Below are 27,887 nucleotides of genomic sequence, written 5' to 3' on the forward strand. Positions count from 1 at the left end.
TGTTTACTTTAGACTTTTTTAAAAAGAACATTGTCTTTTTGACAGAAATTATGGTTACAGAGAAATTTTATTCATGAAAGCATTTTATTTGAAATGTAAACTCATGGCTCTGGTTAGCTACATCTGTGATACACTGCTATTAGGAATGTAAATTGGTAAACCTTTCTGGAGAAGAGTTTAGCAAAATGTATCAAGAATCTTAAAATGTTTACTTCTTTGGGCCAGGAATCTTGCTCTGGGACTTAATAATCAGAGATGTGCAGAAAGATGGATATAATTATAGGATTCTTCTCAGATGTATAACAAGGAAGAATTGGAAATTACAAATTACGTTGCAGCTATATAATTGATTTCTCTTCCATTTGGAAGAACATTTAGAAAGCAAGGAAAATGCTCATTGTATAGTGCTAAGTGGTGAAAGGAAGTTACAAAACATTATATACAATATGATCCCAGGTATAGGTTTTGTGTCTGTATGGTGCTTTTATTTTTCTTATACTGTACCTTGTTTTTCATATTTTCCTATGATGATTTTACATTTCTTTTCCCCGCAACATTTTATTGTGAAAAATTTCAAACATAAAGAAAAGGTGAAAAGGTTTTGTAGTAAATATTTGCATACCTACCATCTAGTGCCTATCATTAATATAAATACTTGCGTTATAAGATGTGTATGCAGCTATCTACCCTTCCATTCATTAATTCATTTTGATACATTTCAAATAAGTTGCAGGCATCAGTGTGCTTCTCCTTAAACACTTCATCCTGTATATTGTTCCTAGAATTCAGTATGTGTTTGCAGTTTTGTTTTCTTCTGGGATAAAATTTACCTCAAGTTTTGAGAAATGTAAATACCACATGACCCACACATTTACTTTTATAATCAGAAAAATTCAATTTAAAAAAGTGTAGCTGTGGCAATGTATGTCACTCTCTTTTTTTCTTTTTTCCTTTTTTTTTTTTTGACACAGAGTCTCGCTCTTTTGCCCAGGCTGGAGCGCAGTGGTGCAATCTCCGTTCACTGCAACCTTTGCCTCCCGAGTTCAAGCGATTCTCCTGCCTCAGCCTCCTGAGTAGCTGGGACTACAGGCATGTGCCACCACGCCTGGGTAATTTTTTGTAGTTTAGTAGAAACGGGGTTTCACCGTGTTAGCCAGGATGGTCTCGATCTCCTGACCTCGTGCTCCACCCACCTCGGCCTCCCAAAGTGCTGGGATTACAGGCGTGAGCCACTGCACCCGGCCAATCTAGTGAATTGAGTTTTGTAAACCTCCTTAGCATATCACACAACACTAATTTTCCACTCTCAATATGTGGCTGTAGAGTGTTTAATGTTTACTTTCATATCGCTTTTCCATAGTAGTGCAAGACCTCAGTTTAGCTTGTTTACATTATTTGCAGATTTACTTACAGTGTACTATTTATTTCTGTTTTAAATAGTGTTTGCAATAGGAGAAAATCATATGATCTTAAGCATATACACCAAAGGTAAGAAAGGAAGCCACTATTGTATCTTTTTGATGAATTCCAGATGAGCTGGGATCAAATTGAACTGCTTAGGCAGAAATTTAAGAGACAAGTAGAAGTGGTGCAGAAAGACATTGTGACTGCAATGTCCTATTTACAGCTACTGCCCAGAGGAGAACACTCCCAACATGACAAAGAGTTCATCAGCTTGAATGTTAACTTTTGAAAACAATTAATTGGCCTAGTGCAGTGGCTCACGCCTGTAATCCCAACAATTTGGGAGGCCGAGGCGGGCGGATCACGAGGTCAAGAGATCGAAACCCCGTCTCTACTAAAAATACAAAAATTAGCCAAGCATGGTGGCGGGCGCCTGTAGTTCCAGCTACTCGGGAGGCTGAGGCAGGAGAATTGCTTGAACCCGGGAGGCAGAGGTTGTAGTGAGCCAAGATGGTGCCAGTGCACTCCAGCCTGGGCTACAGAGTGAGACTCTGTCTCAAAATCAATACAAAAACAAAAACAAAACACAATTAATCACAGCAACTTATTTGTACTCTTGTGTATATTTGATAATAAATTGAACAAGATATGTCTGTACATAGTATTTTTTTTTCTGTCTGGAAGAGATGGGAACCTGACAGCCTTTATGTTAACTTGAAATCTGTTGATACTCAATTGAATCAAAAGGAAGCAGAATCCTTAAGAGGTAATATATAAGGCCTTTTCTTCATCTGTCTTGGCTTTTGTAAGACACCACTACCCTTATTTTAAAAGAAAAAGCATCCTACCAAATTTCACTGCTTTAGAAATGTCGGAAGCCAGATAAATTCAAGTTTCAAATTTATTCCACGTTATAAATATTTATAGATAAGGAGAGAAGATCAACATGTCAAACTGGTTATAATAACAGGAACTATCAATAATTTTTATATAAAGGGGAAAATACCTGTGTGAAATAGGAAATATAATCTTGAAATTGACAGAGAACCAAGAGCAAAAAATAAAAAGCTTTTATTATACTCAGTTAATCAATATGATATCGTTTAGTGATTTATGGAAGGCTAGTTAAATGTTATCACTTTATTAGCTCATGGGAGGGAGACCCTTCTTCTTTTCTATGCAGTTCTGTTGCTAACTTTTTATTAATAAATTCTTTAAATTTGTTTTAATTGTAAGTGCTATTTTAAATATTTCCCCCTGACCCAAACACGTTAAAGAAGAATAATGCCACATTTACTTTCTTTGTAAATCCTCTCAATATTTAAGTATATCGATGGGACCAATACAAATAAAAATTAATTATCTTAGATATTTGACAATCGCTATTGAGTTCTGGCATAGTTTCTATAATAACTCGTCCAAAGCGGTGCTCAAGAGTGGCCACTGGTATTTTTAAGCATGGAGAGAGCTTTGTTAACTATACCAGAGCTAACATTTTAATTTGGTACAAGTTGAGTATCCCTAATCTGAAAATCTGAAATTCAAAAAGCTCCAAAATCACAAACTTTTTGAGTGCTGATGTGACAACACAAGTGGAAAATATCACACCTGACCTCATGTAACAGGTCGCAGTCTAAACTTTGTTTCATGCCCAGCATTATTTAAAGTATTGTATAAAATTGCCTCCAGGTATAAGATACAGATGAAACATAAATTGATTTCATGTTTAGCCTTGGGTCCCATCCCCAAGATATCTCATTGTATATATGCAAATATTCCAAAATCTGATAAAATCCAAATACTTCTGGTCCCAGCCATTTTGGAAAAGATACTCAACCCGTACTTTCAAATGTACTCTTTTATGGCTGAAGAATATTGGTTATAGCATCTCCACATGCCTAGTCTCTTCCCCTTCACTCAGGAGTCCCTTTGTGAGTTATTAAATAATCTCATATAAAATTTTTCTCTCCCCAGTTAGAATTTGTTCATTCTGGATTTTATCCTTTTAGGTCAGTGGTTCTCTCAAAGTGTGGTCCCTGGACCAGCAGCATTAAGCATCACCTGAGAATTTGTTAGAAATACAAATTCTTGGGCCTCACCCCACACCAAATGAGTCAGAAACTGGGAGGTAGCGCCCAGCAATCTGTGTTTTAACCAGCTTTCTAGTTGTTTCTGATGTCCCCTAGAGTTTGAGAACCACTACTTTTATTGTACCTAGCCAATCATATGCTAAATACAGACAGTATAACTTCAGTTTGGAATTTTGGGTACCTTGTCAAAAAGTGGCGGAGAGGTTTTTGCTCTTAGAGGCCTTTAGGCTCTTAACTTCACCCATTGTAGATGACCACCTATGCACATAATAAACTGAAGGCTGACTTAGGAATGGCAAATGTACATGAAACCTCAGGCCAATACTTTCAAATTCCAGCCCCTTCTCATAGTGGTGCTAATCTGACTTTCCGGCCTTTTTTTTTTCTTCCTTCCTTCCTTCCTTCTGTTGTTTTTGTTTGTTTGTTTTGTGTTTTGTGTTTTGTTTTGTTTTTTTTTTTTGAGACAGGGTCTCCCTCTGTCCCCCAGGCTGGAATATAGCGAGCTCACTCTAGCCTCGAACTCCTGGGCTCAAGCCATCCTCCCAGCTCAGTCTCCCAAGTGGCTGAGATTAACAGGTGCAAGCCCTCTCACTCAGCTGTTTTATTTTGTCTTTTTTTATTTTCTGACAGGATCTCTCCACTCCTGTCCAACTGTTCTTCTGCATTACTTTTTTAATTTTTGTAACCTTGTTCACATTCTTTCCTTCACTTGTAATACCTTTGTCTTCCCTGTCTGGGCAGATCCTACCCATTCTTCAGCTGTAATTATTTCCTTCTCTGTGAAGCATTCTCAGTCATACAAGCGTATTTTCTCTTTCTCTTCTGAATTTATACCACATAATACCCATAGTACTAATTTGACCGATGGTTAAAACTGCCTGTGACTCTGCATTCCAGTGAGAAATTGCCACCTAAGTTTTCATGTGAACATGCTATGTCTTCTCATCTGAAAAGCAGGGCTAATGATAGTACCCACATCATAAGAGTTGTTGAGAGGATTGAATGAGATCATATATGTGAAATGTATGTAGAAGAGTGCTTGACTCATAGGAAGACTTGGATAACTGTTAACGATCACTCGCATCTTCACAACTGTACCCCACAGTCAGAACAGCAGCTAGATGTCATCTTTTGTGAAAATGTTAATTAGCTGATATCTAGGCCTCATGCTGAGAAGGGATCAGATGCCACATATACAGTTAGCAGCAAAGGCAGCCTGGCAAGGCTCAGGGTGAATACAGTGGGCAAGCACATGTGTGGTGCATTTGATGTCCTGTTGTGAACTTTCTGAGAGCAGGACTGTCTTTGTAGCTGATGCTGTCACTAGACATCATCACTCTACCAAGTACTGCTACCACTGTGAGCCTGAATTTGGTGAAGGGCTTTACACCATTGCCCTCTTCTTCTTCACAGTCACTTTATAAGATTATAATCTGCATTTGATGGAAACTAAGGCTCAGGGAAGTTAAGCAGCCTGCCTAATATAAACAGCATCGTTCACTTGGGTCTTCCTTGCCAGCCTCACAACACCTGCCATTGTGCTTTGCTCCCAGTGAACATTGAAGTATTTGTTCCTTGATACCTGGTATTGTGTCGCAGTGGACATACCTCTCATTTTTGTTCATCTAGGAAATGTATCTTGTATTGACATACCTACATTTTCTTCATTTACTCTGCTTTGAGCTGTGAAGAGGGTAGAACTCGTGTCTTTACCATGTCACTGTAAGTACAGTAACACACTTGCATTCACCTACATAGTAACAAACTCTTAGGTATTGCCCTTTCTGTAGGGTTCCTGATGTCTGGTTTTTATAAATGCCCTTGCTTTTGTGCCTTTTAGACTGGCATGCCATTTCTGCTTAAGGAATTTTAAACGTGTCACTGTGCAGTGCTTTAACATTGTGCTACGTATATAAATCATCATTTTGAATTGGAGAGTAAGCAATTTAAAATAATGGATCATTTTATTTGATAATGAACATAGTCATCATCCGGAAGTATATGTTGAATAGCCATCCATCACTCTGCTCTTTTCTACCAGACATTTCTGTTACTGGGAGCTTGTAATCTAAGACACTCCAAGGTGAACTGCTATAAAGGTGTTAGAGGAAATTGGACACATGTTGAGCAAATAAATGTATTAAAATGAGTAACATGTATTACTGATATGTCTGAAGATAACTCAAACCTTAGGAGAGAGGTCACTGAGGAAGAGCCACCAGAAAGGCTTCTCCTAGGACCTAGAGGAATTTGGAAAATTACCTGAATTATAAATAATGTTCCTACCATGTTATGTGAAATGTAGTTACATTAAGACAAACACCACTGATTTTTTTTAGATGATTAGTGTGACCATAAAAATGTTTTATTTGCAAGCCAAAGCCCCTAATCCTTCTTATGTTTGCTACTTAGTCTTTAAAATTTTTAAAAATCCTTTCAAAGCTTTGTTAGATAATATATTTACCTGTACATGGAGGTTAATTTCAGTTTGCCTTATGAGAAACATTGCAACTGTTATTTCACCTTTTCATTAAAGTATTATTGATCTCAGCATATTGAGCAATAAACATTTCAGTTAGTTAATATTTGTTCTACAGCCATGCTGGAAATATTATGCTGAAGTAAAACCAATTAACGTATTTCAGTAAAAATGTTACAGCCTGAGTAGCTGATGTTATACAAAGCTAGGCTCTTGCTATTAGAAGAAAAATAGTATACAGCATGAATTCAATTCCTGAGAAACTCAAAGCCTAATATAGAGAATTGAGAAATTGAAAAATTGGAGGAGAGAAAAAGCAGCCCGTAAGTATTTCAGATAGTTTCAAAATTGATATGACTGGCTCTTAGTCTTCAAAAATAGAATTATCTCACTTGAATATTTAAAAAGTACCTAGAATTTTCTTCTCTGTTCTGTAGTGAAGATGGGAAGTCACTGACATGAAATTACCCAAGAATAGAGGCCATGTTATCAATTTTTTTTCACTGATGCTTGACTCATACTCCCGGTTAGGACATCCAGTTTCTGTTTGAACACTGCCATTGATGACATATGAGATGCAGTCTGCTCTAGTTTGGAACAGCTTCTTAGAAAGTCCTTTATAATGTAACTTCCAGCCATTGTTCCTGGTCCCTGCCTCCGGGGCCATATACAACAAATCTTACCTTCTTCCATGTATCAGCTTCTAGAGGATGGCATCTGTACCTTATTGATCTTTGTACTTTCTGGACTCTACACAGTACCTGGTCCACAATAAGCAGTCAATAATGGATAGGATATAAATGAAAAGAATAATAAACATAATGATCACATCTCAACTTTCTCTTCTTTGTAAGATTTACAGAAAGGTTTCACTGTTAATGAATCTTCAGAAAAGAATACAGCTTGCCATTCCTACCCTACTTTATAGCCTTTTCTTCTCCATGTTTGGCTGATTTTTTGAGTTCTTAATAAATTACTTTGTCTTTGAATGAAGGGTTCTGTTCTATAGCAGCTAGAAAGGATGTTTTCCTGGCCGTGGTTCTTATCTGGTTTGTTTTTGAACATATTTCCCAAAAAGGAATCCAAGATGCTTTTTCTTAGCCCTGCTAATATCAGATGTTCACTGATTCATGACCTGAGAAAAATTAAGGTGTCCTAAATGAAATGAGACTGCCAGAATTTTAATGACTTGAAAATATGACTCTTATCCCTGATACTGTTCTTCAAGAAAATAATGCTTGGCAGAATTAGGTGCATTAGAGAAGCAGCACTGGTAAGTATGAAAATGTTTGTTAAAGAGGGAGGAGACTGTATGGCAGCTCTGCTTTCCAGAGATTGTATTCAGCAAGTAATGTACAAAATCAGCTGATCTCACGACATTTTAAAAACATGCCAAGCAGTGCTTCCATTAGTCGGAAACTGAATTGCTTCCATTATTGGAACATAGAATCTACCTTAAGAAACATATACTCATAGGTGGGCAGATCACCTGAGGTCAGGAGTTCGAGACCAGCCTGGCCAAAACCCTGTCTCTACTAAAAATACAAAAATTAGCTGGTGCCTGTAATCCCAGATACTCGGGAGGCTGAGGGAGGAGAATCGCTTGAACCCAGGAATTAGAGGTTGCAGTGAGCCGAGATCGCACCATTGCAATCTAGCCTGGGCCGCAAGAGCAAAACTCCATCTCAAAAAGAAAAAAAAGAAAAGAAAAAAAGAAATATATACTCATTTTTATTTTAATCACTTGGTGGCTATTTTAAAATATAATACAAAGTTTAGTGAGCATCCGCTGCTGAACAAATCTTTAAAGTTGTGAAAGCGAGGGACTTTTTCTCCCTAAAACCTCAGGATGTCTTCTTAACTACACAGTAAAGCCTAGGCCTCTAAGTGTGGCTTGCATTCTTCTATGGGAAAAACCTTATGTGCAAAGAAGCCTAGGGATTGTAGTAAGGCCAGGACACCTCTCTCAGATCAGTGAGGCTCTGTGGGAAATCCTGATTCTGGATATACTGACCTCAAGTGTTGACCAGACCAAGAGCAGATTTTAGGAAGAGATCAAATTAATTAATATTAAATGGACTTGGGAGTATGAAGTGTTAAAAAGTTTATACTCTGGCCTTGTTTCAAAAAGGATTTAAGATTATTAGCAGATAAAGTAAGCATGTTTTGAAGTTCCAGGAAGGCCCTCTGTATCTCTGAAATCTCTCTCACCTAAATGTAAGGTGAGGAAATAGAAAAAAATTAACATTTCTTTAGTTTCTGTTATTTACAGCTACTATTCTAAGCACTTCGCATAGATTCTCTATTCAAGCCTACTGCTAACACTTCCAGTTTTATCTTGTAACTTTATTCTTTAAGGTTGTTTCCCATAATAGAACTGCAGATACCACTGAAAGAGGTAACTCTACATGTGAATAATACCTTGAAGTACAAAACATACCTGATTTGTTTCCTGAGCACATATTTTTCTAGGTGGGGAGGTGCATACTTGACACTAGGAAACTGTGACCTGAACAGATTCTGAGGTAACTTTCTTTTCTGTAATTCAGCCATCCAACAAATATTGAGTATTTATTACATGCTAGGTACTATTCTAGATACTGGAACTACACTGGTAAATAAAAGATACAAGGATTCATGTTTTTTAGAGTTTACCTTCAAATGTGGGGAATAAGAAAATAAATGGTATGTCAACACATTAGAAAATATAAGACCTATACCTGCCAGGGCTAGGGGCTGAATTTAGTGATTCATTTCCAAAGATTCAAGTATAGAAAAGGAATAGTTAGTAACTTTACAGTGGGCTAACCTGACAGATGCCTCCTTAACCAAGTGATGAGGGCTAACAACACTAGTAATTAGTCAGGTTGATAACGTGTATCCCACATATGATTTGGTGAGCAAAGCATTTTACCCCTGAGGTTTTCTTCCCCTAAAACCATAACCCCAGTCTAGTCATGAGGAAAATATCAGGCAAACCAAAGCTGATGGACAGTCTACAAAATACCTGGCCCCAGTGCTCCTCAAGACTTTGAGGTTTTGGGAAACAAGGAAAGACTGAGAAACTGTCACAGACCACAAGAGATAAGGAAATGTGATGAATATACACAGTGTGGTATCCTGAATTGGATTCTAGAACAGAAAAAAAAAGATGTTGGTGGAAAAAATAGTGAAATGTCAATAAAGCCTGGAGTTTAGTTCATAGTCATGTATCAATGTTGGCTTCTTAGCTTTGACAAATATACCCTGGTGATGCAGCATGTTAACATGGGGGGAAAACAGGGCAAGAAGAACTATCTGTACCATCTTTGCAACCTTTCTGTGAACCTAGAATTATTCCAGAATAAAAAGTTTATTTTAATTAATATAAGGGGAAAATAGGGCAGAGTAAGGGAGATCAGGAGTGCCAGAGGAGCTAGGGTTCAAATTTCAATGAGTTGGTCAGGGTAGGCCTCACTAAGAAGGTGACACTGAGTAAAAACTTGAAGGAATTAAGGGAGGGAACCAAGCATGGGGGATAAAACATTCCAGATACAGGCCCATGGCAGGTGGGAGCATGCCTGTTGTATTGGAGAAATAGCAAGGGGGCCATCGTAGCTGGAGTGGAGTGTGTGAGGGAGGAGAAACAAGAGGTTGGGCCAGAGAGGCAATGAGGCCAAGTGGTCTTGGACCTTGTAGGCAATTATAAGAGCCTCCGACCTAAATTGGAAGGAAATGGTGAGCAGTTGAATGCTTTTGAATAGTGACGTGAAATGGTTTGACTTACATTTTCACATGACCACTCTGGAGACTGTTGAAAAGAGATTACATGGGACAGAGACAGGGGACCAGTTATGGCTCTATTACAGTAATCTCAGTGAGAGATGCTTGTGTCTGGGGCTAGGAAGGTTGCAGTGGAGGCAGTGAGAAGTGGTTGAATTTGGGGTAGAGTTAACCAGATTTGCTCACTGATTGGCCATGGGCTGTGAAAATAATCAAGGACGTCTCAGAGGTTTTGCACTGAGGAGATGGAAAGATGTGCGTGGGCGCAAGGGAAATCAAGAGAGGAGCAGGTTTGTGAGCAGGTCGAGTTCTTTTTTGATACAAACAATGAACAATTAGAATCTGCCACCTAAATACCATTTACAATGCAATAAAAATATGAAATACTTGGAAGCAACCTAAATGTCCATCAACAGATGAACAGATAAACAATATTTATTATTCAACCTTAAGAAGGAATACAATTCTGATCCATGCTACAATATTGATGAATCTTGAAAACGTATGCTAAGTAAAAATAGGCCTAACACAAAAGGACCAATATTGTACAATTCCACTTATATGAGGTACCTAGAATAGGCAATATTCAGAGACAAAAAGTAGAATAGAGATTACCAGGGGCTGGGAGAGAGAGAGTGGGGAATTATTGTTTGATAGGTATAGAATTTTTGTTTGGGATGATGGAAAAATTCTGGTAATGAATAATGATGAGAGTTGCACAACAGTGTGAGTGTAATTAACGCCCCTGAATTATGCACTTAAAATGGTTTAATTGGTAAGTTTTATGTTATGTACTATAATTTTTAAAACAAAGTTCTATTTATAGAAAAATGAAATGCTGAAGGATAAATTTAACAAAAGTCTGTGTAAGATCTTTACACTGAAAACTGTAAGACATTGCTGTGAGAAATTAGTGAATACATTTAAAAAAGAAATATATCCTACATTTATGGGTCAGAATATTTTTATTCAGATGTCAGTTCCCCCAAAATTGATTTGAAGATTTAATATAATCCCAAATCATAACACACCCAGTTTTTTAAATTTTTTGTAGAAATTGATAAGTAGATTGTAAAGCATATGGCAGTGAAGAGGACCTGGAGTAATGAAAAATGAAAACTAACAGTAATGATGGAGAACTTGTACTACAAACTTATTTGATGGCTTACCATAAAGCTACAGTAGTCAAGATAGTGTGGTATTTGTGTGTAGATAGACTAGTGGAACCGAACAGAGAGTCCAGAATTAGGCTCACATATATTTGGTCAGTAGATTTTTGACAAAGATGCCAAGGCAGTTAAGTGAGGAAAAGGGTAACCTTTTCTAGAATTGGTGCTGGAATGATTAATGTCTATATTGAAAAAATTGAGAACCACTGAACTAGGGAAATGTAGTATGGTTGCTGAGAAGCAATCAGGTTATGTGTTTTCTTCAGCCATATTCAGCTCAACAGTTGCAAGGGTGGAGTAAACAGAGAATTGGATTTCTTCAGGGTTGTGGTTTTCCTGAGTACATTGAAGGAAAAGTAGAACCATGATGCTGAGGATGGTTGCAGGGGAAGGATTCTGTGATTTGGCCTGGAATTTAGGCTAAGTAAGGAGGGAAGACTTCAGGGAAGGGTGTGACACTCATAAGGTATAGGAACAGGTAATGATAGGTCAAGGGATTACTGGAGTTCAGGTGCTGGAGGCAGGAAGCTGGAAATACAGGAATTGGTGGTCAGCAAGTAGGGGGCCTGGATTTTAGATTGTAGAGAGGTGCAGTTATGGGTAATTCCTAAGTCATGACCAAAGGAATTTGTGACTGCGGCAGGGTGAAGGACTAGACTGTTGCAGGGGAAGAGTTCAAAGACTTGAAAGAACAGGTGTCTGAGGGTCTTGTAAGTGCATGAAAATTCCCACATCCAGACAGGAATAGTAATCGGACAAAGTGACAGTGAGCTGGGGCTAAAATCATTAAGAAACAGGGGAGTGAACTAGGGATTGGTACATGATGGCAACAATGAAGGCTCATGAATGATGCAATCTCATGACAGAAGATTCAGCTTTTGGGAGGTGGTAGGAAAGAGTACTGTCTGGAGGTGGTAATGAGGGGCTCCCCACCAAGCTCTGCAGAGCAAGGGCCAAGAGACAGAACAGCAGCTATTGCGAGGGCTGCCGGGGAGGGCCAGGCTCTGGACAGAGGAGGCAAGGGAAGGTTTAGAGAAGAGGTTCAGGATAGAGGGGCTTTGTGCAAGGGTTTCAGGAGTTGAGAAGATATGGGAGGAGGATCCAGCTAGAATACATGCGGTCCTGTAGGAATTGGCATGAGAGGTGAGGGGGCAGCCGGAGCCGGTTGTCTTGTGCTGACCTGCACAGGGATAAGGGCACCCAGAGCCTAGTCCTGGAGTATTCAGGACTCGCCTATTTACATGTTTTAAAATAAAATATATGTTTTAAATAACATCTTCTGCCTTGCGCTGCAAATGGAGGCATTTAATTCCTAGGAAGCAATATGGCTTCGTGTTTAAGAGCCTGGGCTTTAGCGTCAGACAGGTGTAGATTCAGATGCTTTCTCCACTACTTATTAGATTTATGGGAAAGTGACTGCACCAAGCCTTAGTTTCCTTTTTTATAAAATGCAGATAATAATAGAGTCCACTTCATAAGGCTATTGTGAGGACCACATGAGGTAATCTGGGTAAGTACAGTGCCTGGCTCCTACTCAGCTCTCAGTGCGTGTTACCTGTGGCGGTTAGGGCTATGATTTCAGCAGCAGACAGTCGGAACATATTCGAGATTTCTCCTCTCCCCTGTGGCTTGTTAGCACTATTTCAGCATAACTTGCTTTTTTAAGACTTATAGATAACTAGCTATTTACATCATCCTAGAGTATAATGTTTCCCAAACTTAAAAAATCTTTGTTCTCTATGGTGGTTTCTCATCCTTTTTAAAAAAATTTTCTCACCAGACAACAATATTTTGTCATTTACTTACTATATTTTGTGTTATAAACTGGGATTTTTATTTTTTTTTTTATTTTTTTTTGAGATGGAGTTTTGCTGTTGTTGCCCAGGCTGCAGTGCAATGGCGTGATCTCACCGCAACTTCTGCCTCCCAGGTTCAAGCGATTCTCCTGCCTCAGCCTCCGGAGCAGCCGGGATTACAGGCATGTGTCACCATGCCTGGCTAATTTTGTATTTTTAGTAGAGATGGGTTTCTCCATGTTGGTCAGGCTGGTCTCGAACTCCTGACCTCAGGTGATCCGCCCGCCTCGGCCTCCCAAAGTGCTGGGATTATAGGCGTGAGCCACCGCGCCCGGCATAAACTGGGATTTTTAAAAATCTCTTTTTAATTACACATGTCCTGTCCCCTTCCTTGTCCTCTGGAAATTGAGATCTCTCACTTAGGAATCATTGTTATATCAGCTCATTATGATTGCATCATAGAATAATTTGGAGGTATTGTTCCATGTATAAGATTGGTAGAAATGAGAAGGACTGAAACACTTATAGCTGGTGAGGGAATGGAATGATGGGCATAACACTTTCTTGGTGGAAGTCTAAAATGGTAAGCCTTCCAGAAGACAGTTTGAAAGATTGACAGAAGTTTTAAAATGAAATGCCTTCGACCTATCATCCTCACTTTTAGGAATTTGTTGTAAGCAAAAATTGGAAAAGTGCATGTGCATATGTATTAAGAGTTGTGTATGGCAATGCAAATCAGCAACAGTGAGCACATTCTATTTTTATAATCAGAACAAAACAACAAAACTAACCAAAGGCATGGAATCTTACTTGTGGGACAGAGACAGTAAAAAATCTTTATAATTGGTCTGTTTTGTACAGATTGGCAGTTCACCCCTCTGTTGAGTTTTCAATCATGCAAAGTACCTTGAAAGTACACTCATATGCTTTTGATATTTTCTGCTTCAACTCTCCTAGAATGTCATTGATGGCCCAGAATTTTAATCTCCTTACTTCTCTTTTTTCTTTCTCCGAATTTATTTGCTATCATGAAGCTCAGCAGATACGTGATATAAAGTAAACATTAATTCTACTTCAGAGTTTCTCCAGGTTGTAATTGGTAGCTGAAGAAATACTGCAGACATTTTAAGTTAAATGTAACTTGAATTTATCTGGGCACTAGGCACCTTCCTTTAGTATTCTGTAAGAATACAAATAAAACTTTTGGTTACTAAGCAATAATGCTTTAGGGTTTTGCCTTTGTTTATAGCTCTCTCCACATCTGGTGATTATAAAGGGGAGAAATCTGTATATGCTCTGTAGGTGAAAACCAGTACTTGTCACCAGTACATGAAACCAATGCTTGGGTGGTATTTGAAATATGTCTTTCCGTTTATTATGGTGGTTTTTTTTTTTCTGTTTGTTTTAGTAAACCCATAAAGGCTCTGGAATGTCTACCCACAGATATTTGTCAAGTTGAGTAAGAAGAAATCTTCCTTTTTAAGAACTGTGTATAAAGAAAGAAGTATTTCACACCTGTTTATCTTAGCAGGGTCTGCAGAGAGAGGGAGATAGATTCCCCATTAACTCTCATTCAGAGGAGAGTTTAGAAAAGAGAGTGTATGGTGACCTTCTCTGCTCTCTGGAAGGGCACTGGCGCCAGGTAGAAGGGCCCGCTATTTGTGTCTACAAACAAAAAGTCTTCCTAAATTTCTCACTTTTCTTGTTGAGCCCGTTTGTAGAATTCTTTCAATTCACATAGCTGAATTGTCTACAATCATAAAATGCTAATATGATACGTTTCCAGAAACATATTTTAAGGCTTGTAATTTTTTAAAAAATGAAAACCATCTTTCAGTTTGGGTTCCCATTTGATGCAGTTGCAGATGAGAAATGTCTTTCTCATCCTTCCTAGTAGATTAGGCAACCTAGTTGGGGGATGGGACGTGATGTATTTGTCTCCCCCAAAGGAATGTTTAATGATCCTCCTCCTTTTAAGATATTATTAAGTCAAGTTAGTAATAAGTAGGAAATAAGTAAAATTATCTTTTTAACTTTAAACAGAAACAGTTATTTTAATACAACTTGATATATATAAATAATAAAATATATATAATATATGTTATACATATATATATATATATATATATATATATATATATATATATATTTTTTTTTTTTTTTTTTTTTTTTTTTTTTGAGACAGGATCTTGCTTTGTCACCCAGGCTGGAGTGCAGTGGTGTGATCATGGCTCACTGCAGCCCTGACCTCCTGGGCTCAGATGTTCCTTCCACCTTAGCTTCCTGAGTAGCTGGGACTATAGGCACATGCCACCATGCCTGGCTAATTAAAAAAAATTTTTTTCCATAAGTTATTGGGGTACAGGTGGTATTTGGTTACATGAGCAAGTTCTTTAGTGGTGATTTGTGAGATTTGGGTGCCTCATTACCAGAGCAGTATACACTGCACCATATTTGTAGTCTTCTATCCCTTGCCCCGCCCCTACTCTTTCCCCCAAATCCCCAAAGCCCATTGCATCATTCTTATGCATTTGCGTCCTCATAGCTTAGCTCCCACATATCAGTGAGAATATATGATGTTTGGTTTTCCATTCCTGAGTTACTTCACTTAGAATAATAATCTCCTCCAATCTCATCCAGATCACTGCAAATGCTGTTAATTCATTGCTTTTTATGGCTGTGTAGTATTCCATCATATATATAGACCACAGTTTCTTTATCCACTCGTTGATTGATGGGCATTTGGGTTGGTTCCATGATTTTGCAATTGTTTTTGACCCAATGCTGCTATAAACATGCGTGTGTAAGTATCTTTTTCAAATAATGACTTCTTTTCCTTTGGGTAGATTCCCAGTAGTGGGATTGCTGGATCAAATGGTAGTTCTACTTTTAGTTCTTTAAGGAATCTCCACACTGTCTTCCATAGCGGCTGTACTAGTTTACATTCCTACCAGCAGTGTGGAAGTGTTCCCTGTTCACCACATCCATGCCAGCATCTATTGTTTTTTGATTTTTTTGATTATGGCCATTCTTGCAGGAGTGAGGTGATATCACACTGTGGTTTTGATTTGCATTTCCCTGATCATTAGTGATGTTGAGCATGTTTTCATATGGTTGTTGGCCATTTGCATATCTTCTTTTGAGAATTGTCTATTCATGTCCTTAGCCCACTTTTTATGGGATTGTTTTTTTCTTATTGATGTGAGTTTGTTGTAGATTCTGGATATTAGTCCTTTGTGAGATGTATAGATTGTGAAGATTTTCTCCCACTCTGGGGGTTGTCTGTTTACTCTGCTGACTGTTCCTTTTGCTGTGCAAAAGCTCTTTAGTTTAATTAAGTCCCAACTATTCATCTTTGTTTTTATTGCATTTGCTTTTGGGTTCTTGGTCATGAAATCCTTGCCTAAGCCAATGTCTAGAAGGGTTTTTCCAATGTTACCTTCTAGAATTTTTATAGTTTCAGGTCTTAGGTTTAAGTCCTTAATCCATGTTCAGTTGATTTTTATATAAGGTGAGAGATGAGGATCCAGTTTCATTCTCCTACATGTGGCTAGCCAATTATCCCAGCACCATTTGTTGAAAAGGGTGTCCTTTCCCCACTTTATGTTTTTGTTTGCTTTGTTGACGATCAGTTGGCTGTAAGTATTTGGATTTATTTCTGGGTCCTCTATTCTGTTCCATTGGTCTATGTGCCTATTTTTGGACCAGTGTCATGCTGTTTTGGTGACTATGGCTTTATTGTATAGTTTGAAATCAGGTAGTGTGATGCCTCCAGATTTATTCTTTTTGCTTAGCTATGCATGCTCTTTTTTGGTTTCATGTGAATTTTAGAATTGTTTTTTCTAATTCTGTGAAGAATGATGGTTGTATTTTGATGGGGATTGCATTGAATTTGTAGATTGCTTTTGGCATTATGGTCATTTTCACAATATTGATTCTACCCATCCGTGAGCATGGGATGTGTTTCCATTTGTTCGTGTCATCTATGATTTCTTTCGGCAGTGATTTGTAGTTTTCCTTATAGAGGGCTTTTGACTCCTTCGTTAGGTATATTCCTAAGTATTTTATTTGCAGCTATTGTAAAAGGGGTTGAGTTCTTGATTTGATTCTCTGCTTGGTCACTGTTGGTGTATAGAAGAGCTACTGATTTGTGTATATTAATCTTGTATTTGGAAACTTTGCTGAATCTTTTGTCAGTTCTAGGAGCTTTCTGGAGGAGTCCTTAGGGTTTTCAAGGTAAACAATCATATCATCAGCAAACAGTGACAGTTTGACTTCCTCTTCACTGATTTGGATGCCCTTTATTTCTTTCTCTTGTCTGATTGATCCGGCTAGGACTTACAGCACTATTTTGAAGAGGAGTGGCAAGAGTGGGCATTCTTGTCTTGTTCCAGTTCTCAGAGAGAATGCTTTCAACTTTTCCCCATTCAAAATTATGTTGGCTGTGGTTTTGTCATAGATGGCTTTTTATTACATTACATACAAGTATGTCCCTTATATGCTGATTTTTGCTGAGAGTTTTAATCATAAAGCGATGCTGGATTTTGTTGAATGCTTTTTCTGCATCTATTGAAACGACCATGTCACTTTTTTCTTTAATTCTGTTTATGTGGTGTATCACATTTATTGACTTGTGTATGTTAAACCATTCCTGTATCCCTGTTATGAAATCCACTTGATCATGGTAGATTATCTTTTTGATATGTTGTTGGATTTTTTTTTAGCAAGTATTTCGTTAAGGATTTTAGCATCTATGTTCATCAAGGATATCAGTCTGTAGTTTTCTTTTTTGGTTATATTCTTTCCTGGTTTTGGTATTAGGGTGATGCTGGCTTCATAGAATGAATTAGGGAGGGTTCCTTCTTTCTCTGTCTTGTGGAATAGTGGTCAAAAGGATTGGTACCAATTCTTTGAATGTCTGCTAGAATTCTGCTGTGAATCCGTCTGGTCCTGGACTTTTTTTTGTTGATGATTTTTAAATTACCATTTCAATCTCTCTGCTAGTTATTGGTCTGTTCAGGGTATCTAAGCTAGGAGGGTTGTATTTTTCCAGGAATTTATCTATCTCTTTCTAGTTTACGTGAGTAAAGGTGTTCATAGTAGCCTTGAATGATCTTTTGTATTTAAATGATGTCAGTTGTAATAGCTCCTGTTTTGTTTCTTAGTGGGGTTATTTGGATTTTTTTCTCTTCTTTGCTTGGTTAATCTTGCCAATGGTCTATCAATTTTATTTATCTTTTCAAAGGACCAGCTTTTTGGTTCATTTATCTTTTGTATTTTTTTTTGTTTCAATTTCATTTGGTTCTGCTCTGATCTTGGTTATTTCCTTTCTTCTGCTAGGTTTGGGTTTGGTTTGTTCTTGCTTCTCTAGTTCATTGAGGTGTGACCTTAGAATGTCAGTTTGTGCTCGTTCAGTCTTTGATGTAGGCATTTAGGGCTATGAACTTTCCTCTTAGCACTGCCTTTGCTGTATCCTAAAGGTTTTGGTAGGTTGTGTCATCATTGTCATTCAGTTTGAAAAATTTTTAAATTGCCATCTTGATTTCATTTTTGACCCAGTGCTTATTCAGGAGCAGCTTATTTAATTTCCATGTATTTGCATGGTTTTGAAGGTCCTTTTTGGAGTTGATTTCTAGTTTTATTCCACTGTGGTCTGAGAGAGTGCTTGATATAATTTCAGTTTTAGTTTATTGAGGTTGGTTTTATGGCCTATCATATGGTCTATCTTGGAGAAAGTTCCATACACTGTTGAATAAAATGTGTATTTTGGGGCTGTTGGATGAAATATTCCGTATATATCTGTTAATTCCATTTGTTCTGAGGTATAGTGTAAATCCATTGTCTCTTTGTTGACTTTCTGTCTTGATGACCTGTCTAGTGCTGTCGGTGGAGTATTGAAGTCCCCCACTATTATTGTGTTGCTGTCTGTCTCATTTCTTAGGTCTATTAGTATTTGTTTTATAAATTTGGGTGCTCCAGTGTTAGGTGCATATATGTTTAGAATTGTGATATTTTCCTATTGGACAAGGCCTTTTACCATTATCTAATGTCCCTCTTTGTCTCTTTTAACTGCTGTTGCTTTAAAGTTTGTTTTGTCTGATATTAGAATAGCTACCCCTGCTTGCTTTTGGTGTCCATTTACATGAAATGTCTTTTTCCACGCCTTTACTTTATGTGAGTACTTATGGGCTAGGTGAGTCTCCTGAAGACAGCAGATGGTTGGTTGGTGAGTTCTTATCCATTCTGCAGTTCTGTGTCTTTTAAGTGGAGCATTTAGGCCATTTACATTCATTCAATGTTAGTATTGAAGTGTGAGGTACTATTGCGTTAATCATGCCCTTTGTTGCCTGTGTACTTTGGTTTTTTTGTTTTTGCTTTTTAATTTGTATTTTTGTTTTATAGGTCCTGTGTGATTTATGCTTTAAAGAGGTTCTGTCTTGATGCGTTTCTAGGATTTGTTTCGAGATTTACAGCTCCTTTTAGCAGTTCTTGTAGTGGTGGCTTGGTAATGGCAAATTCTCTCAGAATTTGTTTGTCTGAAAAAGATGTATCTTTCCTTCATACATGTGCTTAGCTTCACTCGATACAAAATTCTTGGCTGATAATTGTTTTGTTTAAGGAGGCCGAAGATAGGGCCCCAATCTCTTCTTCTAGCTTGTAGGGTTTCTGCTGAGAAATCTGCTGTTAATCTGATAGGTATTCCTTTATAGGTTACCTAGTGCTTCTGTCTGACAGTTCTTAAGATTCTTTCCTTCGTCTTAACTTTGGATAACCTGATGACAGAGCACCTAGGCGAAGATCTTTTTGCAGTGAATTTCCCAGATGTTCTTTGTGCTTCTTGTATTTGAATGTCTAGGTCTCTAGCAAGGCAAAGGAAGTTTTCCTCGATTATTCCCCCAAATATGTTTTCCAAGCTTTTAGAATTCTCTTCTTCCTCAGGAACACCAATTATTCTAAGGTTTGGTCATTCAGCATAATCCCAGACTTCTTAGAGGGTTTGTTCATATTTTCTTATTCTTTTTTCTTTGTCTTTGTTGGATTGGGTTAATTGGAAGACCTTGTCTTCGAGCTCTGAATTTTTATCTTCTACTTGTTTGATTCTATTGCTGAGAGTTTCCAGAGCATTTCAAATTTCTAAAAGTGTGTCCAAAATTTCCTGATTTTTTAATTGTTTTTTCTTTAAGTTATCTATTTTCTTGAATATTTCTCCCTTCACTTCTTGTATCATAGTTTGGACTTCCTTGCATTGGGTATCGCCTTTCTCTGGTCCTTCCCTGATTAGCTATTTAATAACTAACGTCCTTAATTCTTTTTCAGGTAAATAAGGGATTTCTTTTTGGTTTGGTTGTATTGCTGGTGGCTAGTGTGATTTTTTTGGGGGGTGTTGAAGAGCCTTGTTTTCTTATATTACCAGAGTTGGGTTTCTGGTTCCTTCTCATTTGGGTAGGCTCTGTCAGAGGGAAGGTCTAGGGCTGAAGGCTGTTGTTTAGATTATTTTGTCCCATGAGGTGTTCTCTTGATGTAGTACTCTCCCCCTTTTCCTATGGATGTGGCTTCCTGTGAGCCAAACTGCAGTGATTGTTGTCCGTCTTCTGGGTCTAGCCACTCAGCAAGTCTACCAGGCTCCAGGCTGGTACTGGGGGTTGTCTGCACAGAGTCCTGTGATGTGAACCGCCTATAGGTCTCTCAGCTGTGGATCCCAGCACCTGTTCTGGTGGAGGTGGCGGGGGATGCAGTGGACTCTGTGAGGGTTCTTAGCTTTGGTCCGTGCTTTGCTTCTTATTAGTATTAATTTTGGCCCAGTTCTGCAGGCTTAACCAGAAACATGGCTGGGAGGTGTCAAGAAACTTGCAATCATGGCAGAAAGGCGAAGGGGAAGCAAGCATGTCTTACCAGGGCAGAGCAGGAAAGAGTCTAATTAAAAAAAAAAAAAAATTGTAGAGAAAGGGTTTTGCCATGTTTCCCAGGCCAGTCTCACTAACTCCTGAGCTCAAGCAATCCTCCCATCTCAGCCTCCCAAAGAGCTGGGATTACAGGTGTGAGACATTGTGCCTGGCCTATTATATATTTTGAATTGACAAGTAAAATGGTATATATTCATGCTGTACAACATGATGTTTGGAATGGCTGAATCAAGCTATTTAACGTATGCTTTATCCCACATACTTACGATAGATCTGTTGGTGAGAACACTTAAAATATACTCTCTTAGCAATTTTCAAGTATACAATATATTGTTACAAACTGTATCACCACAATGTGCAATAGATCTCTTGAACTTATTCCTCCTAACCAAAATCTCATGTCCTTTGGCCAGCATCTCCCTGCATTCCCTAAAGCTGATTTTATACAACTTCTAAATCAAAATGAGTATGTTATCTTTGACTGAATCAGTTCATTAGCCACAGAAACATTAGTTTCATTTTTTCATTTGCTGCCACCCCTCATCACTGACTTTGTTTTTCCCCAAGACTACTTAAATTGCTTTGGCCGCAGGCTCATTTCTTCATCTGGCAAACAATCCCACCTTGCGTGTCTTTATCACCTGCCTTGGTTACCATCTGCATCCTGCTTCTAACCATCATCAAGTGAATTTGCTATCCACCCTAATAACCTCTGAGCCAACTGCAGACTTCTTTCTACCATGACCTCCTTGATTACCTTCAGCTACACTTCCCTTCAGCTACTTATTGGTAGAAGCTTAGAACCTTCAAAATGGCATGCCTGCGCTTCCCTTCTTTGCCTATAATCTATCTCACCCAGTCTCTGAACAGTAAATATTGTGAATTCATTGTGAACATTTAAAAATCGTATGATTTTACATAAATCCAGATTCCTAGCTCCTTTGAAAAAGAAGCAAACTGGATCATTGTTCTTGAATGGTGGCAGCAATGGGGATTTCATTGATGGGGACTTCATTGGTGAAGGCAAGGCTTATTTGGAGGTATCAGTTCTAAAAGAGTTAGGAAAGAGAATCAGTTCTGTTTTATCATTTTATGTCATGTAGTGTATAATTTTAATTAGCATTTAACAATGCAATCAATTAAATAAAAAAGAATTGGTATTTTTAAATTTTATCCATAAAGCAAATCTGAAAGAATGAGGAGTGTTTAAGGTGAGTCTCTTAAGAATGCCTGAAGAGTTTCTTTTTTGAAGCAGGGATATGTAGTTTTAAACTTCCTCATTTATTTATTATTATTTTTGAGACACCATCTCACTCTGTTGCCCAGGCTGGAGTGCAGTGGCACAATCACGGCTCAATGTAGCCTCAACCTCCTGGGTTCATGAGATCTGGCTACCTCAGCCTCCTGAATAGCTGGGACCACAAATGTGCACCATCACGCCTGGCTAATTTTACTTATTTTTTATTTGTAAGGAGTCTCCTTATGTTGCCCAGGCTGGTCTCGAACTCCTGGGCTCGACTGATCTTCCTGCCTTGACCTCCCAAATTGTTGGGATTACAGGCACAAGCCACCACGCCTGGCCTATTTTTTTTTCTAATAAAATTATATTGAATTTTATTTTTAATTGCACGAAAAGAATCAATTAGTAATTTTCATGATTACACAGTATAGAATAGAACAAATGTGAGGATACTCTGAAGGAGTACTCATCTAGAAAATGCATCTGAATAAGGCAAGCATAAAAATCATTTTTGGCTACAGAAATTTTTGTTAATCACTTCTGGCACTTAGCACAGAGACACTCTCCTTTTTCCTCTTAAGTTATATATAGGCCTTCCCTGTGTCAGATGATGTCATTCACTCATGATGAATTCATGATGTCATTCTTTCCTGCCTATCATTCATCAAAGTTAGGATGATGGGAAGGGGGTGATAGATGCTTGAGGGGGATGGCAAAAGGAAAGATGTGAGTACAGTGTCTAAATCTCTGGTATGGCAGGAGACTTACCCCCAAGGGGTTTTCTGTTCTTTATACAGTTGTAATTAGAAAATTCTGGACCTGAAAGCATACTACCTGAGCCAGCTGTTATTGCTTCCATCATTTTACAAAAAGAGAAATTCAGCCATTTGGTAGACCTTAAGATTAATTACGTTTCATCTCTTTTCTCTTTGTAATTCCATTTTCCTCCAATCACGTTAGGTTATTTTCTTAGTTTGTTGTATTGTTTATATTTAAGAAGATAAAAATCCTACTGTAAATAGATGTGTCAGAAAGAATGAGATGTGAATTTAGTCACTAACATTAATGGATCTAGTTCAGGGAGCAAGACCTAACCCACGGAGTTTATGGACCTGAATTAATTTTTTGAAATTATTTCTAGATTTTTGTCTTTGTTATAAGTTTGTGGTAGGGGAACAATTTAGAAAGGCAGCAGGTAAAAACTGTAACATATAAATATTCTATGTTTTGGTTTTTTGAGGGGGGTGACTGTGCATCTAATTTTGATGCCTGAGAACATGAGCACTTGGAGCTACAAGCCTGTGTGTAGATACACAAGCACACCCACACATTCTCCAGCTTTGGTGTTCACAAGGCCTTGTTCTGAGTACCATGATCTTACGGCATAAAGTAAAGCATGGATTAGAGAATGTATTTGGCAAGGAGATTTCCTGAATTCTTTGAAGGTGACAGATTCCTTAATGGCCAGATTTAACTTGGAAGTTAGTAATAATCATGATAGGTAACCATCATTTTTTGTATTTACATCATCTTATATGTTGAACTTGATTTATAACTGTCTTCTTTCACTCGAGAAATTACAACTTTATCCTGTCATTTTCTTAAAATGTTATCAAATTAATGGTTCTAGAAGTAGCTATAATTAAGTTTTAGAAGTGTACAGTTTGTCAATTGTATATTCTCTCAAATGGATAATACCATGATATAGTAGATGCTTCAGTATGAAAACAGTAGATTGTATCAATCAGAGTCAGAAACCACACCAGTAATTTGAATAGGGAAACTTCAGTATTAAAATTATTAACTAGTAAAAGATAGTTAACTTTTAAAAGACTCTAAAGAATATAGGACTAGCAAACATAGGGAACAGCTGCTACCTCTAGCACTGAGGGAGAGCACTTAAGGGAGGAACAGACTTGGAGGAGGGCCCCACTCAGGCTGGAAATTAGCCCTTATTGGAGAAGGTGTGTTTGCAGCCGACTGGGTGGTGTCACAGGCTGGAACTGGTTTACAAGAAGCCATCTGCTGGGGGTCCAGTGACGATCTCGAGTGTGTCATGGGGCAGAGCTGGTGTGCAGGAAGCCACCTGCTGGGGTGCTGGGAGGCTAAAGCTGGCCCACAAGAGTCTTCTGGCTGGTGGCCAGTGGAACCCACTTGAGGGTCAGTACCACTGGGCTTTGTACATGCTGCTGGCCATCATGGCCACTGGAGGAAGGAAAAGCATATAGGAAACAGGTCTCTTCCTCCACTAGGCCTTTGCAGTGGTCCCTCCAGTGCACTGTATTGACACAGGTTAACATTGTGCCAGCTGGCAGAGGAAAAGTATTTACAGGGCCTAGCTCCAGTATCACGAGGCAGCACAAAACACGATGGATTTGGTGGTGCTGAGAGGCAATAAATTGTTAACTGGCACAGTTCATCTCTTTGGCTACTCAGCTTCTACATACACCATCTACACACACTTGAACTTCCATGTAATAATGAAACAGTTCTATTTTTTCACCTATGATGAAGGTCAGCTGCCCTTTGTACAAGTGAAGAAGTTCTCACCCTTTCCCCCAAATGAGATGCAGTCCCAACAGTCACTGTGTCCATTGCCTGCTTTATTAATTTCTTCTCAGATTTCATTACAGTACACTGAATATTCTGTTACCTAAAGACTAAATCATAAAGTTAGCCTCTAACAATTTGTATATAAAATAACAAGGGGAAGAAGGAGAGATCAGAGAGAAATAATTAATATACACAAGTATCTACACATATACACAAAGAACAAGCAAAGCCCCCTCCCTCCCTGCCTTCCTGCCTTCTCTCCTCTTTCTTTCTTTTTTAAAAGAAAATGGTTTCAATGTAATACAATTATCTTTTAAAAAAAGAACAAAGGGAAAATCCCCAAAGCTGCTATAGTCCACATTTCTGTAACTAGTCATGATCTCTGACTTCCTTCTCCACGTGTCATTCTATATATATTTTTTTCACTTAGCCAAAACCTTAGCTGGCTGGTCGGCTTTACCTGATGGGGTGACCTGAACTTTCATTCCTGAAGGTTCTGAGTCCTCAGCAGTCCTGCCTTTTATTGATTGTCATATTGTTTCATGAACCTCTATTCTTGGGCATAGGAGCACTAGGAGTCACCCCATGAACCCCCTGGGTTTCAGACATAGACCTCCTTGCCCCCATTGTTTAGCAACAACCCAATATTCCCTTGGTAATTGGGATTAATCACTCCAGTCAGTAGAGTATCCTCTTTTTCTGCTTGTTGGTTCAGAACCTAGAATAGCCAGTGGCAGTCTCGTATCCCAATTAAATGGAATAATTATTATGTCCCCACATGCAATAAGGTGAAAGCATTCCATCCTTGGGGACTAAGATCTCCAAACTAACAGAGCTCAGGGGTACTGTGGTGGGGATCATTAATTCTGTGAGTTATTAGGTATAACAGTGATAGGAGTCACTCTCACTTCTTTTTTTTTTTTTTTTTTTTTTTTGAGATGGAGTCTCTCTCTGTTGCCTAGGCTGGAGTGCAGTGGCATGATCTCGGCTCACTGCAACCTCCGCTTCCCGGGTTCAAGCAATTCCCCTGCCTCAGCCTCCTGAGTAGCTGGGACTACAGGTGCGTGCCACCATGGCCGGCTAAATTTTTTTGTATTTTAGTAGAGACATGTTTCACCGTGTTGGCCAGGATGGTCTCGATCTCCTGACCTCGTGATCCACCCGCCTCAGCCTCCCAAAGTGCTGGGATTACAGGCGTGAGCCACTGCACCCAGCCAGGAGTCACTCTCACTTCTATTCCTTGATTACCAAATCCATGTATTCTGTTACAGGGTTGCCAGTGGTCCGTGATTCAAGGCATATTCTTACTTCATCCTGTAAATCAGAAATGCTTTCAGGGTGTTGTCTCTCATTTGATGCCATAACTGAATTTTCCAGTGAGTCATTACACATTTCTATTAGGTGAGCTGCTTCTGATTGGAGGGATATGGGGTGAGACTACTCAATTCCATGCTTATGAGCCCATTGCTTCATTCCCTTGCTGTGAAGTGGTTTCCTTTGTCGGAAGCAAAGCAGTATGGAAAACTGTAATGGTGAATAAGGCATTCCGTGAGGCAACTGATGAAGATATTGTCGGAAACATTACAGGCAGGGAAAGCAAATTCTTTTTGTTTTTGAGACGGACTCTTGCTCTGTCGCCCAGGCTGGAGTGCAGCAGGCAATCTCGGCTCACTGTAAGCTCTGCCTCCCGGGTTCACGCCATTCTCCTGCCTCAGCCTCCCAAGTAGCTGGGACTACAGGCGCCCGCCACCACGCCCGGCTAATTTTTTTGTATTTTTAGTAGAGACGGGGTTTCACCGTGTTAGCCAGGATGGTCTCAATCTCCTGACCTCGTGATCCGCCCGCCTTGGCCTCCCAAAGTGCTGGGATTACAGTCGTGAGCCACCGCGCCCGGCTGGAGAACAAATTCTTATCTAGGATACGTGTCTATTCCATTCAGCATGGATGCCCCCCCGCCGCCCACCCGCCACCATCACCTCCTGGGAATGGGGGACTGTCAGGGGCTCAGTGTCTATCTCCATGTTGGTAGATTAGATACTCAGCAGTAGCAACAGACAGTTCAGCCTTGATAAGGGGAAGTCCATGTTACTAAGCCCACATTTAGTCTCCATCCTTGCCATCATGGCCACTTTGTTCATGGCCCCATTGAGTAAGCCTTGGGGTGGCTGGGAAGGAGGCTGAATGACATCCGCAGAGCATATAATTGTATTCATTTGATTATTGAGGTCTGTGCCCAATGTGAGAGGTCTGTCACATCCTCTTCCTTCAAATTCTTTGTCACCAATCTTACAATCTTCTTCTATTCAAGTCCCTGATCATTCAAATAAACTATAAGCAATCACCCGTGAATTAATGTAAACTCTTATTTCTGGCCATTTCTGATTACAGACAAAGCGAATCACCAAATATATTGTCAAAGTTTTTCCCTCTGGGAGGATTTTCCTTAAAAGCTGTTCTTTGGGGGTCACCCCTAACTGGGGATGTAAGCTGTGGACGTAGACTTTCATTCAGCTGGTACCAATGTATCATGCAGAACCCTTTATAAATTGAGCTCGTGTTTTTTCTTTCTTAGTCAACTTGTGGGGAAACTTGGTGTTGATTCAGAGCTAGTGTTTAGTATTCCCTGAAATATCTGAGTATGTTCTTTCCCCCTGTGCACTGTCCATCTAGTAATGGCAGCAGGCCTCTTTGGTGAAGGCTTGGAGGAGGATTTATGGTATATGCCTGTGGCAGCACTGCAGGGTTATTTTTGAAGGAAACCTGGCCTTCCCTTCAAAGGGTTATGGGACAATACACTGTTCTAGGCCTAGAACTGGGTGTGATTCTGTGACTCTCCATTGTGGTGACGTAATGGCCACTGGACCTACGTTTTGTTGTTGTTGTTGTTATATAGATTATACAGTATTGTAGTAAACTGCATACTGATTTCATTCCTAGGGACTGCAGGATAAATTAGCTACCACCAGAGATTCCTGTGGGCCAAAGCATTTTGATTAATATGTCCCTGATCCCTTTGATAGTAAATGCACCGATCTTGTCTTTGGCACTCAGTGCTGCTACTTTTTCTGCTCTTCCTGTATCCCACCATCTCCAAAGAAACCAGGAAGCTCATCTCAGTCGTGACATCTCCTGCGGTCTTACTGGTCTACAAAGGAAAATAACTACAGAGTTTTTCAGAGATGCAGCGCTCCCCTCACTTAGGTATTTTTCAATGTCTTAGTGCAAGGAGTGTCTCTGGTCCTTTTCAGGAGATGTAGTTGAGGTGGTTGGGTATGTAGTTCACACATGATAAATCCACTACATTCCTATCTCCTTAAACCTTTGGATTCCATCCTCCATATCATGCCAGGGAAGTTCTGGCATTTCAACCTCATTACAAGTTTCAGTCAACCAACCAAGTAAGCTCTCAGAGACTTCTGGCTTCATGAGCTAACACATTCACATTCAGTCCAAAAACTCTAGTTAGGTGCATCTATATCCATGAAAGCAG

General features: G+C 39.0%; 1 protein-coding gene across 8 annotated transcripts in view, besides 1 other annotated feature; it reads left to right on the forward strand.

The window, feature by feature from the left end:
- The window catches only part of MAP3K20 (mitogen-activated protein kinase kinase kinase 20), a 192,499-nt gene that overhangs the window by 19,877 nt on the left and 144,735 nt on the right, over window positions 1-27,887 (forward strand). The gene's annotated exons all lie outside the window — the stretch shown is intronic.
- Window positions 2,086-2,255: an enhancer, noted in NCBI's record as "experimental_56377 CRE fragment used in MPRA reporter constructs". NCBI's record gives its function as "activates a minimal promoter by MPRAs in K562 erythroleukemia cells, with activity observed for both the introgressed and non-introgressed 2:173962292 variant alleles {active_cell/tissue: K562}" and the evidence as "EXISTENCE:reporter gene assay evidence [ECO:0000049][PMID:34662402]".

This window comes from Homo sapiens, chromosome 2 (assembly GCF_000001405.40).
Source record: "Homo sapiens chromosome 2, GRCh38.p14 Primary Assembly".
NCBI classification, from domain to species: Eukaryota; Metazoa; Chordata; class Mammalia; order Primates; family Hominidae; genus Homo; species Homo sapiens.